Below are 13,815 nucleotides of genomic sequence, written 5' to 3' on the forward strand. Positions count from 1 at the left end.
TCCTCCAGGAAGACGATTCCAACAGTGGTCAGACGTGGCTGAGGTTTGGAGTCTGGTGACCCAGCTTTCACTTGAGGATCCCTGAGCAAATCTCACAGTGACAGGCAATGCCCTCCATCCCCCGAATCTCCTGAAGGTTAGGATTTTGCCTTATGACCCATTAGGGACAAAATGAAACCGTTGCCCTTTTTGAGCTTGGAATGAGAAGGCAGAGATGTGAACAACTTGAGGAGCTGCTCCAGGGCTGCTGTAGGTTACCAGCCACGCCTGCCGGCGACAGAGCTCCACTTAACACGGCTGTAGTGAGAGCCTTGCTTTGACTTGGAAAGGGGCTGCAGCAGCCCCTCATGCCCACAAGAGGGCGCTATGAGATCAGCAGTCTCTTGGCAAGCTCAAGTTTTGCAGGAAGGTGGGTGAAGCAGTTTCTCTCTCTTGGCTCTGCTTCTAAGGACCCCCTGGAAAGAACATCAGCTCCAGAGCTTTCTCTGCAGGTCCGTGTCCTGGGCCATGAAGAGCTGGGGGAGAATTCATGCAACTCTTCTGCACAAAACTCTAGTCTGGGAAAAGAGCACTTCAGCCCTCCTCCCGCCTGAAGAATCGTTCCTTCAGGTCTCATGGCAGAAATAATTCCTTTGAACTATGATTTGCCATTTCCTTACAAAACTCATGTGAGGCCGGGAATAGACAAGCCACAGTGTGGCTCCTATTCTGGGTTCAAATACTTCTCACATAAATACTATCAAATTTAGACTTCCTAGGAACTCAGGGTAAGAAAGAGATTTTTAAAATTAGCTGTCAAAGGATAAAAAGGACAAATTCTCTTTTATTCATGAGTAACAGCTGAAAAATTGTCACAGGGAAAGAATCTTGAACTTGCAATCAGGAGCTTGTTTCTAGCGGAGGCTCTGCCATTAGCCCCTGTATATAGAAGTTAGTTTCTGGTGTCAGAAGATCTGAGTCTCTGAATCACTACCTCTACAAGTTGGAAAAAATTATTTAATCTTTCTGAGCCTTATCCACAAACAGACTCAAATAATATCTAGTTCTTATAGTACTGTTGTGAGGGTTTGTTCATTCATTCATTCAAAAGGCATTTGAGGCTGGGCACGGTGGCTCATGCCTGTAATCCTAGCACTTTGGGAGGCTGAGGCAGGCGGATTATTTGAGGTCAGCAGTTCAAGACCAGCCTGTCCAACATGGCGAAACCCCATCGCTAGCAAAAATACAAAAATTAGCCGGGCGTGGTGGTGGACACCTGCAATTCCAGCTATTCAGGAGGCTGAGGTGGGAGAATCGCTTGAACCCGGGAGACAAGAGGTTTCAGTGAGCCGAGATCATGCCACTGCACTCCAGCCTGGGTGACAGAACAAGACTGTCTCAAAAAAAAAAAAAAAAAAAAAAGGCATCTGAGCACCTACTCTGTGGGAGGCATTGACCCGGGTCCCGGGTGCTGGGGACACAGTTATTAAGACAGTAATGGTCACTGTCAGCATGGAGCTTGTGTTCTACCGGGGAGGCAGGCACAAAAGAGAACTTCAAGTACTGTGAAAGAAATGAACAAGAACAGGCAAGGAGCAGGTGTGGAGGTGAGTGGTCTGGAAAAGACTGCTGCAGTCAAGACCCAGGGAGGAGATGGAGCCCCAGAAAAGGCACTGGGACGGAGCATTCTAAGCAGGGTTCTAGGAGGTCCAGAGCTAGAAAAGGGGTTGGCCTACTGGAAAACAGAAAGGAGGGCAGTGTGGTGAATGTGAATGAGGGTTAGCAGGATGTGGCGGGGGAGGCAGCACCAGTGGGCTACAGACTTGACACTCAGCAGGACAGACGCCCTTGACGGGTGCTATGTGGCATTCAGTGAGGTCACAGGAATGAAAGATCACTGGGCACTGGATGAGCTAAATTAATTAGTGATAAATGAGTGCTTATGTATAATGAAAGGTCTGGCCAGACGTGGTGGCTCAAGCCTGTAATCCCAGCACTTTGGGAGGCCGAGGTAGGCAGATCGCTTGAGGTCAGGAGTTCAAGACCAGCCTGGCCAACATGGTGAAACCCCACTTCTACCCAAAATACAAAAATTAGCCAGGCATGGTGGTGCACATCTGTAGTTCCAGCTACTTGGGAGGCTGAGGCAGGGGAACTGCTTGAACCCGGGAGGCGGAGGTTGCAGTGAGCCGAGATCATGCCACTGCACTCCAGCCTGGGTGACAGAGTGAGACTCCATCTCAAAAAGAAAAAAAGACAAAAAAAAAAAAAGTGTCTTATCAGAGCATACTATTTCCCCTTCCCATACTTTTTTTTTTTTTTTTTTTTAAGATGGACTAGCTCTGTTGCCCAGGCTGGAGTGCAGTGGCATGATCTTGGCCCACTGCAAACTCTGCCTCTGGGTTCAAGTGATTCTTCTGCCTCAGCCTCCTGAGAAGCTGGGATTACAGGTACCCACCACCACGCATAGCTAATTTTTATATTTTTAGTAGAGATGGGGTTTCACCATGTTGGTCAGGCTGGTCTCAAACTCCTGACCTCAGGTGATCCTCCCACCACGGCCTCCCAAAGTGCTGGAATTACAGGCTTGAGCCACTGCAGCTGGCTAATTTTTTTGCATTTTTAGTAGAGACAGGGTTTCACCATGTTGGTCAGGCTAGTCTTGAACTCCTGACTTCAAATGATCCATCTGCCTCGGCCTCCCAGAGTGCTGGGATTACACGAGTGAGCCACCACACCCAGCCCCATTCCCATACTTTCTGTTAGGTGATGTCTACAGCCTCAAATGGAAGGGGGCTTTCAAATCTTGCTTATTTATAATGGTCAGAAAAAGTAACTTGGCAATGACTCAAATAACTATTTTAATGGGAAAGCAGGTTGTAGTCATCTGACATCTGGTTCAAGTCCCTGAGGGATAGGGAGGTTGGTAGGGAACCCTGACCCCAATGTGGCCATTAGACTCACTGTCCCAGTTGGAGAGTCCCACCTATTTTATGACGGAGAAGCTACTTTATTTTTGAGTGTTTCAAAATCATTTTGGCAGTGGGGAGGGGGAAAGGAGGTGTGGTGAAGGCACTCCTGCCAGGTGTGTCCTCACTCCCTCACCTCCCACCCACTAACTGAGAGGCAGAGGGAGATGGGTAATTGTTATCCACAGGCTTGTTTCAAACTCTCAACTTCAGGAACACTGGTGTCTGCCTTTTCTCTGAGTTTGACTCTTCTGGGGGGTAGGTAGAGGAGCATATATAAAACACACTTGTGAAAATTAAAAAATGGAGTTATAAACAGCAGGGCCTCCTTTTCCTGGGAGAACTGCAGGGTTCAAGCTGCGATGTGTGACCATCTGATACACAATTTAGGTGATATTCTGAAGCATGAAGAAATCAGGGGGTGGGAGGAGTGAAGGGTGGGAAAGGTGAGTGCAAAGCGCAAGGACCAGGCATAGGAATTATGTTTAATTGATCTTTTGTACTGTATTTTTCATTCCAATTTCATTTATTTCCACCCTGATCTTTATTACTTATTTTCTTCTACTAATTTTGCTGTTGATATGATGTATTACAATGATTGATTTGCATATGTCAAACCATCCTTGCATCCCAGGGATAAATCCCACTTGGTCATGATGAATGGTCTTTCTAATGTACTGCTGAATTTGGTTTGCTGGTATTTTAAGGCATATATATGAATTATGTTCAAATATTTAAATAGTTTTAGTGTGATGATAGAGTGATACCAGACTGCAAAGCTGGCAGGTGCTCCCTCTGGGCACCAGGGACATGGGCCTTAGGAAGGGGCGACGACTTGGCCGGAGGGTTCAGTGTTGTGGACATAGCTTTCTAAGATGCAGAAGGTGCACTGCTCTATGCCAGCTTGTCAAAGTGTCTCTTTACATGGAGCTGCCTGTCCTGCTCTGTGTGTTCTCATGGGACAACCTTAGAAGCTGGAGGGAGCTAGGAACTCGTGAGCCAGCAAGAGGTAGAGCTGAGATGCTAACACAGATCTCTGTGTCTGCCTCTGCAGCCCAAGATCTAAACCACTGCACTCACTGCTGCGCTCACCTGGGACATTCTGAACTCACTGGTTCAGGTGGGGTCTGGGGAGCATGCTAAGAAAAAGCTCCCCTAAGGATTGTAATTATGCTCTCTGTTGAATGCATTTAAATATATAAATGGACAATTAAAATCCATTAGACATATATAAAGAATCACCAGCATGAAGGAGAGAAGCCCAGCTGCACAAGACAAGCAAATGACCCGAGTGAATTAATGGAGGGAGAAGGGAGAGCTTTTTACAAAATTGTGATTTGATCTCCTAGTGAGATTCAGCAGGACAGTGCTTCAATAATTTGTATATAGACTGCTATGAGAAATGAACAATCAGAGAACCAGAGTGACCCTGGATATGAAAAACATGGTTAAGTAAAAACTCAGTAGAGGATGTACAAATAGTAGGGAAGACACTGCTGAAAAGCCCATCAATGCACGAGACTGTTAAACCACACAAAACCAAGACAAAGAGTGGGAAGTGGACAGACACAAAGAGTAGAGTGAGGTTTGCTATAACTTTCCTCTTCTGGAGTGGGAACTCCAGAAGGAGAAAATAAAGTGGATGGGAGAGAAGCAACGCTAAAATTAATTATGGAAGGAAAACATTCTCCTGAGCCAAAGAAAAACACGGATCTTTAGATCAAAGCACTCAGATTCAGATTCCTGAATTCCAAGGGTAAAGGCAAATTATTATAAAAGGCAAAAAAACTTATAGATACCGGGGGGGAAAAACAGACAGGCGTGTTGGTGTGCACCTGTAGTCCCTGCTACTCAAGAAGCTGAGGAGGGAGCATCACTTGAGCCCAGGAGTTCGAGATGGCAGTGAGCTGGGATCACACCACTGCACTCCAGCCTACTAGGTGACAGAGCAGGACCCTGTTTCTTAAAAAAAAAAAAAAAAAAGAGGAGAAGAAGGAGAAGAAGGAGAAGGAAGAGGAGGAGGAGGAGGAGGAGAAGGAGAAGAAGGAGAAGGAGGAGGAGGAGGAGGAGAAGGAGAAGAAGAAGAAGGAGGAGAAGGAGAAGGAGCAGAAGGAGAAGGAGGAGGAGGAGGAGGAGGAGAAGGAGGAGGAGGAGAAGGAGGAGGAGGAGAAGGAGGAGGAGGAGAAGGAGGAGGAGGAGAAGGAAAAGGAGGAGAAGGAGAAGGAGGAGGAGGAGAAGGAGGAGGAGGAGGAGAAGAAGAAGAAGAAGAAGGAGAAGAAGGAGGAGAAGGAGGAGGAGAAGGAGGAGGAGGAGAAGGAGGAGGAGGAGAAGGAGGAGGAGGAGAAGGAGGAGGAGAAGGAGAAGGAGAAGAAGGAGAAAAGGAAGAAGAAGAAAAGGAAGAAGAAGGAGGAGGAGGAGGAGGATATCTACAAAAGAAACAATTCTAGAAGTAACATTTTTAGAGTTCTAAAGGAGCTATGGGCTGGGCACGGCGGCTCACACCTGTAATCCCAGCACTTTGGGAGGCCAAGGCGGGCAGATTACTTGAGGTCAGGAGTTCGAGATCAGCCTGGCCAACATGGCAAAATCCCGTCTCTACCAAAAATAGAAAAATTAGCCAGGTGTGGTGGCACATGCCTGTAGTCCCAGCTACTTGGGAGGCTGAGGCATGAGAATCGCTTGAACCTGGGAGGCGGAGGTTGCAGTGAGCCAAAATTGCACCAGTGCACTTTAGCCTGGGTGACAGAGCGAGACTCTGTCTCTAGATAGACAGATAGATAGATAGGTAGATAGGTACATAGATAGATAGATAGATAGATAGATAGATAGATAGATAGATAGATAGATAGATAGAGGAACTATGACCCTAGAATTTCTAGACACCCAGAATTCATTCACGTGTGAAGGAAAAAGGACACTTTCAGATACAGAAAGGCTTAGAAATTATACTCGTGCTATTTCTGTTAAAACTTGTTTGAGAAAATACTCCAGACAAACAACAACAAAAAATTCAAATAAGTAACTCAAAAATTGATAGGGTGTGGAACACAAGAAGCTGTTTGTAGTGAGCAATGAAACCAGTAAAAGTTTAGTTAATTCTAAACAACTGGATTATGCGGTTGTGTATTTATTAAGAACACAAGCTTAGGCCGGGCATGGTGGCTCACGCCTATAATCCCAGCACTTTGAGAGGCCGAGGCAGGTGGATCACCTGAGGTCAGGAGTTCAAGGCCAGCCTGGGTAACATGGTGAAACCCCGTCTCTACTAAAAATACAAAAATTAGCCGAACGTGGTGGTGGGCATCTGTAATCCCAGCTGGGAGGCTGAGGCAGGAGAATTACTTGAACCCGGAGGCAGAGGTTACAGTGAGCCGAGATTGTGCCACTGCACTCCAGCCTGGGCGACAGAGCAAGACTCCAACTCAATAAATAAATAAATAAATAAATATTTTTAAAAAAAGAAATTGAGAGAAATAACCACAAGTTTGGATATTTAAAAGGCAATAATAGTCTGTTTTGTATCACTTTATATCAATACACATAAAAAGAAAAATTAAGTGGAAAAAAATGTGTATTTTCATAGGAAAATATAAATCAACAAAATGAAGTTAAAAACTTATAAGAAATTGAAAAGGTAATAATCAGTCTTTCTCCAAACAAAAGTTGGTAGGCCCACATGTTTTTTGATTGAATTTTTACCAATTCTTCAAGGAAGAGAAAATTCCAATCTTTTCTTTGATTTTCCCAAGCATAGTAAAAGTTGGCCACCTTTCCAGTTCATTCTTTGAGGAAAAAATAACATTGCTGTTAAAACTGTCAAATAGTATAAAACACACAGAATCTGCTGTGTAGACAGAGACAAACGGAAGGGAATAGAGGCCAGAAATTTGATTTAGTGAATGAGATTCTATGTTGGCATTCGATGAGATTCAAAGTTAGCATTTTAAGTTCAACGATAAAATGGTGGATTACTCAATAAATGATTTTGGGAAAATTGAATATCCATTTCAAAAAAAATAAAGTTAGATCTGTATCTCAGTATAAGTCAAGATAAATTCTCCATGAATTGCAGACATACACAATCCCCCAAAACCAACAACTAAAAATTAGTGTAAGAAAACACGGGCCAGGTGCGGTAGCAAGTGCTTGTAGTCCCAGTTATTGAGGAGGCTGAGGTGGGAGGATTGCTTGAGCCCAGGAATTTGAGGCTGTAGTGTGCTATAATTGTGCCTGTGAACAGCTACTGCACTCCAGCCTGGGCAACATAGCACGGTCTCTTAAAGAAAAAGAAAATAGGGGAGGATATTTTATTTTACAGTCTTGGATGGAAGAAGGCTTTTTTCCTTAGCATGACGTCAAAGGTCAGAAACTCCAAAGGAAAATATCAATTATTTAACTACCTTAATTTTTAAGTTTTCTGCATGAATTCTGGTGGAGAGAAATCTGTGAATATTTAAAATGCATATACCCTTTGACATAATAATTCCAGTCTTAGAGAATTTACTTACAGATATACTCACACACTTGTGCAAAGATTTATGTAGAGGCACACCTCATTTTATTGCGTTTGGCTTTATTGAACTTTGCAGATAATCGTGTTTTTTACAAACTGGAAGGCTTGTGGCAACCCTATGTCACACAAGTCTATTGGTATCATTTGTCCAAATGCGCGTGCTCACTTTGTGTTTCTGTGTCTGCATTTTTTAGCAATAAAATATTTTTAAATTAAGACATGGATATTGTTTTCTCAGACATAATGCTATTGCACACTTAGACTACAGTATAGTGTAAACACAGCTTTTATATGCACTGGGAAACAGAAAAAAAGTGTAACTTGTTTTATCATGTTATTCACTTTACTATGGAGGTCTGGAATATAATCCACAATATCTTCAAGATATGCCTGTAAAGATATTCATTTTGACATTGTCTATAATACAAAAAACTTGGAATCAACCCAAATGCGTAAAACTAGTGTGCTGGTTACAAAAATTATGATAAACTCATTTAATGGAATATTATGCAGCCATTAAATCAAACTAGGTCTAGTTATAGAAAGATGCCCATAATAAGTAAAAACAAAATTTGTAATTCACTGTGTACAGCATAATTTCATTTGTATTTTTGAATAATATGATTGTATATATGCCGAGAAAACTTTTTTTAATGTGTAAACATAACTACTACACTTCTAGGGCGGGGGTATTGGGTGAAATTTGGATAAAAGAAGAAAGGCTGAAGGGAAATGTTTACATTTAACTTCAAACAAAAGTTCATTTGTTCGAGAGAGAGAGAGAGAGAGAGATATATATATATATATATATATATAGTGTACTACATATATAGTTAAGTGGGAATTCTGTGTATGACAAAGTTGGCATTTTAAGTTGAACTATGAACTATTGTTCACTATAAATGAACATATATATAATTATATACATATAATTATTTATGACATAAGACACCACAAATAAAGCAAAGAGAATATCTGTTGAAAATATTTACAACATGACAAGTGGTTAGCAGCCTTAATATGTAATTAGCTATGACAAATCATTAAGAAAAAGATGAAATAAAAAGATGATAACAGCAGCTATGATTTACATAGCAGTTACTGTATGTAGGTTTTAACTTAATTACCGTTATAACAATCCCCTAATGTAGGTACTATTATTAATCCCAGACCTGAAGAGCTTAAGTCACTTGCTCAAAGTTAAAAATAGCAAGTGACAGTGTAGAAATTCAAATGCACGCAGTCTGCTCTAGAACCTAAGCTATAACTGAGGGGCCAAAAATACAGAAAGCAACTTATCAGAGAGAACAAAAATGGCTAATATGAAATTGTTTAGTCATATAATTTAAAAAAGCATATATTTTAAAACATCAGACTGCGAGGAATTGGTAGTGGTGGTATGGAAGAAAAAATCTTGCTCCGTTACACACACTCTTGATGGGAATGAAAAGTAATATACCTTTTTTTGTATCAAAATTATATACTATGTATCAGCATAGAAAATGTACAGATTCTTTGATTCTACTTCCAGGAAATTATTCTGAGGAAATAATTGGATAAATGAATCAAGATGTATACACACAAGGATTTCCATTCCAAGAGTGAAAATTTGGGGGAAAAATATAAATCATATATAAATATACACACACACACACGCACATACCTACACAGAAACACTGGTTATATCTAGGTTAAGGAAAAACTTGCACGTTCTGCATTTCTGTATTATTTGCTGCTTCTTTTTTAGGATCAGAGAAATGTGTTTTTTGGGAAATTCAAAAGTACATACTCCCTGCTTCTTAAACACTATGCACATATTACTATTATAACCAGAAAAACAGTAAAAAAAAAAAAAAAGGGGGGGGGGTAAAGTTTTCCTACACACACATATGCATTAAAAATTCCAGAGTTCGGAAACCAACCTAGGTGTGGATGAGCCAGTTATAAGGAGGGACACAGACTCCCTGACCTTTGGATGCTAAAAGCAAAAGCATCAGAACTTTGTGATATACAAAAGCAACCAAGAAATATCTTAGTTCCTTGAAATTTGAATGCCTATGTGACAGGAAAACAATACTTTAAGTATTTAAAGTATCTCCACCACCCTATGCTGCTGTTCTCAGGAGTCCTGGGCCCACCAGGGAAGCCCACAGGTCTGCTGGGCCCACCAGGGAAGCCCACAGGTCTGCGGTGTGGACTCTCCAGGTATCACTCCAGGAATAGCCTAGGTCCTGCACAGGTGGGCAGTGAGGGCCGCCTCCATGCCATTGGACCTGCACTTCTGCAGCTGCATGAAGGAGATGTCTGCAGAAGCCATCATGTCTCAGTCAGTCAGTGTACTGGATTAGAAGCTACTCTAATATTGACCCATGGAATCAAGATCAGAATTACCTGGTTGTTTTTGTTTTGTTTTTAGTTTAACAATTTTTTATTTAAAACCTATTTTACAAATAACAGGAAACACATATTTTAGCAAAATGGTTATTCTACTATTTTAGTAAAAATCTGAGATATAAAGGAAGCTTTCCAACTAGCAAAACCTATTTTCAAGTTTAGAAAATATTCTGCTATTAAAAGAAAAATTCTCTCCTTGTTAAATTTAGTTCAGGGGTCAGCAAACTTTTTCTGCAAAGGAGCAAATCATAAATATTTTAGGCTTTGTGGCTCATGTGATCTGTATGTATCTACTCAGCTCTGCCACTACAGGGGGAAAGCAGGAATAGATAATATGTATATAAACAGCCATGGCTGTGTCCCCTAAAAAACTTTATTAATGAAAATAAATGGTGAGCTAGATTTGGCCCTCAGGTTGTAGCATGCTGACTCCTATATTTGAGATTACCAATTTATTTATTTATTTATTTATTTTGAGACAAAGTCTCACTCTGTTGCCCAGGCTGGAGTGCAGTGCCACGATCTCAGCTCACCGTAACCTCCGCCTCCAGGGTTCAAGTGATTCTCCTTGCCTCAGCCTCCCAAGTAGCTGGGATTACAGGCGTGCACCACCACACCTGGCTAATTCTTGTAGTTTTAGTAGAGACGGGGTTTCACCATGCTGGCTAGGTCAGTCTTGAACTCCTGACCTCAGGAGATCCACCTGCTTCAGCCTCCCAAAGTGCTGGGATTACAGGCGTGAGCCATCATGCCCGGCCTAGATTACCGATTTTAGAATTGGTCTAATTTATTATGCCCTTTTTCTCTCCCCACTTATATTACCTATACTAAGAGGGTAGCCTAACGTTTGAGGTTATCTTCTGTGGGGCTGTATGTACAGCCTCTCTCCCAAGAAATGATGATGTGCCTCAATGCCACTTGGTTGTACCTCATTGGGCCATTCTCAGATCTGACAGCAAAAATACAGAGATGTGAAACTCCCAAGCTATTCTTACTGCTTGGCGCAGCCATGTGACTGACAGCTGCCACAATCCCTCATACTGCATCTTCAGGCTACTCAACACACAAGGCTCAGTGTCAGTCCCCTCCTTCAGTTTAAGGGGAAATGATATAACTAAAGAGGTGGTATGAAGAGATTTAGAAATGACTCAGGGGGCTGGGCGTAGTGGCTCCTGCCTATAATCCCAGCACTTTGGAAGGCCGAGGCAGGCAGATCACGAGGTCAGGAGATGGAGACCATCCTGGCCAACATGGTGAAACCCCTTCTCTACTAAAATTAGCTGGGTGTGGTGATGCATGCCTGTAATCCCAGCTACTTGGGATGCTGAGGCACGAGAATAGCTCGAACCCAGGAGGTGGAGGTTGCAGTGAGACAAGATCGCGCCACTGCACTCCAGCCTGGCGACAGAGCAAGACTCCATCTCAAAAAAAAAAAAAAAAGAAAAAGAAAAAGAAAAGATTCAGAAGAGCCATATATAAGCAAGAATGCAGAATGTGTGCATATATGTGACTCAGCATGTGGGTGCCAGTTTGTGTCTGCATTTTGTTGGCAGGATGGCACAGGGGATTCATCCTGTCTCTCTACAGATAACCCAAAAAGCTACTGGGAATTCACACAATGTGAAGCCTACCCCAGAAAGCACTTCTCAAAAGAACAGAATGGCTGAGGCAATGTTCACCCACCTGATTCTTCCCATTTAAACAGCATAAACATTGGGGGAAAGTTTGCTTTTAAAAATAAGCAGTCTGCGTAGAGAAAAATTAGGAATGAAAAAAAGCTGTCAAGTATCCTGAGCCCCCAATTTGGTAATGTACTGATCTTGAATAATGCTTGTGAATGAAAGCAATAAGTAAAACACTCACAAAATTCACATTTCTTCTTCTGTTGTGAACAAATACTTATTGAGAACTTACTAAATACCAGGCATTGTGCTAAGTGTTTAGACATAAACAATGTATGTAATATTTTCTTTTAAAAATTGCCTATTAATAAGACAATACATTTGACTTGTAAACATAGGTAGAAACTGCACATGTATGTATGTAGATATATATCTCTCTTCAAGAATCATCCAGGTACCCTATATATTTTAATAAATTACCATCACTCATGAAATGTTCTTATTTGAGCTAACAAGTTCTTTTCTATAATAAATTAGCTTCTAGTTGATGAATTTGCTATGAGTTTCTTTCTTTGCTAGTTATGACATACTATATTTAAGAACACGTGTTTAGAGGATTGGTTTAATATTAAGTTGCCCATTAGGAAGAAGTCCTAAGAAATGTTGAGTTCAACCTACATTGGATTCATCTCTACTCGAGCATGGCCTTTAAATGAAAGCTTCCGTTCTGATTCCACACAGCAGAGGCATGCTGCTGCCTGGAGGTGCCCAGCGCATAAGCAAACCTCCACAAGCTGAGCTACTTACAGTGAAGGGGTGGTAGGGGGCAGCGGGGGGAGCTCCGCGGGGCCCTGCTGGTGGAGATAGCACGGACAGTCCTGTTGAAAAGATGCCAAGTGCGCTGAGGTTCAACCCTGGGATCAGATTGGCTTGTTGCTGGGAATAGAAATGGAGAAAAAAGATGAAGGGAGGAGACCAGAGAGGCCCGCACGCCTGGGTCAACCTCCCTCTCTTGTCTTAATGGCACCAGCGTCTCCTAATCAGCTCTGCCCAGGCTCTTCCTACCCTGTATCAGAGGTGGGTGCCACATCTTAACCTGACCATGGTGTTCCTTCAAGGCTTCTCTGCCACACTTGGGCATGTCTACATATCTTGTCATGGAAAATGAGGCTCTTCCTGGGGATGGCAGCCACCTTGCCAGCCTCACTCCTGCTAACCCTTCATCTCCAACCTGGCCAGTCCTGTTTCCTAAATACCTCTGAGCCCCTTCACATGCTATTTATTTCCTAGGCAAGGAAGTGCTTTTCTCCCTTCTCACCTGGCTAAGTCCTACTGACCTGTGGGTTTCACCTGAGCATAGATTACCCCTCATGCAGGAAGCTTTCTTTCATCCCAAAGATCAGCTCAAATGCCCTGTCTGTGCTCTCCAGCATTCCTGTTTCCCTAAGACAGCACTCATTACATGGTATGTGAATAGCCTGTTTAGTTACCTCTTCCCCTTTCAGACTAGAATTTCCTTGCAAACAGAGAATGTCTTACTTAGTGTCGTGTTCTCAGTGCCTGGTATATAGTAAGTACTCAATAAATATTTGTTGAATGACTGTTTAAAACAAATTGGATTAACAGTGTTTTCCAACTCTATCCATGGAGAGATCAGATTCTTCACATGATGTAAATTCCCACATACGTAAACTCCATTAGCCAGGTTCGGGATGGTTTACAACTTTGTCTCTTTACTATTTAGTTGTCGGCTTTGTGATCATCTTGCTTGCTTGCTTATCTTACATTTCTACATGGGGATGGTCACACAGACTGGGGGTGGGTTTAGCCACACAGCTCTTCAGAGGCAGAGGAACGTGGTCACCCATTCCAGGCTGTGTCCAACCTGCTTCCATCTTTGTCTCCCTGAACATGAAGCAATTTCCTAACATTTTCTAATCTTTGTCTACATTCACACTGTAACTTGCCTTTTTCTTTTTTTTAGAACTTTTGGAATAGCAGTGCTCGTATCCTTCATCTTTACCTCATTTTGTCTATAAGATGTAGTAATTTTGTTATTCACCTACCAGTGCGTGACTTTGGCACAGACATGAATGAACCTAAGTGGTAAGCTCAGGTGAAGATGTATGAATCACTCAGGCCCTTCTGTAGCTTTTCCAGGTGTTCACAGAAAGAGATGTTTACCACAAGATGTCAAGAACCCACAGGAAGAAAATGAGATTGTCAGATGATACTTCCACAAATATATCCAAACATGGGGAGAAGACACCACTGCAGTCTCCTGCTCTAGCTCTTCTCATCACACCTCATAATTGTCATGTGACGTGGGCTGCTAAGG

At 42.3% G+C, this 13,815-nt stretch overlaps 1 protein-coding gene across 38 annotated transcripts in view; it reads right to left on the bottom strand.

Moving 5' to 3' along the window:
* The window catches only part of IGF2BP2 (insulin like growth factor 2 mRNA binding protein 2), a 181,913-nt gene that overhangs the window by 17,127 nt on the left and 150,971 nt on the right, over window positions 1-13,815 (bottom strand). For 23 of the 38 annotated variants that reach the window (XR_007095624.1, XR_001739984.3, XR_007095625.1 and 20 more), the window contains one exon: window positions 12,285-12,413. The exons of 13 other annotated variants lie outside the window; for them this stretch is intronic. Coding sequence is in view for 21 of the 25 variants with exons in the window: in XM_024453316.2 (XP_024309084.1) it covers window positions 12,285-12,413 (129 nt within the window). In the remaining 4 variants the exon portion in view is untranslated. 2 more of the 38 variants (XM_017005564.2, XM_017005563.2) reach the window with 2 other exon arrangements.

Source organism: Homo sapiens, chromosome 3 (genome assembly GCF_000001405.40).
Source record: "Homo sapiens chromosome 3, GRCh38.p14 Primary Assembly".
NCBI lineage: Eukaryota > Metazoa > Chordata > Mammalia > Primates > Hominidae > Homo > Homo sapiens.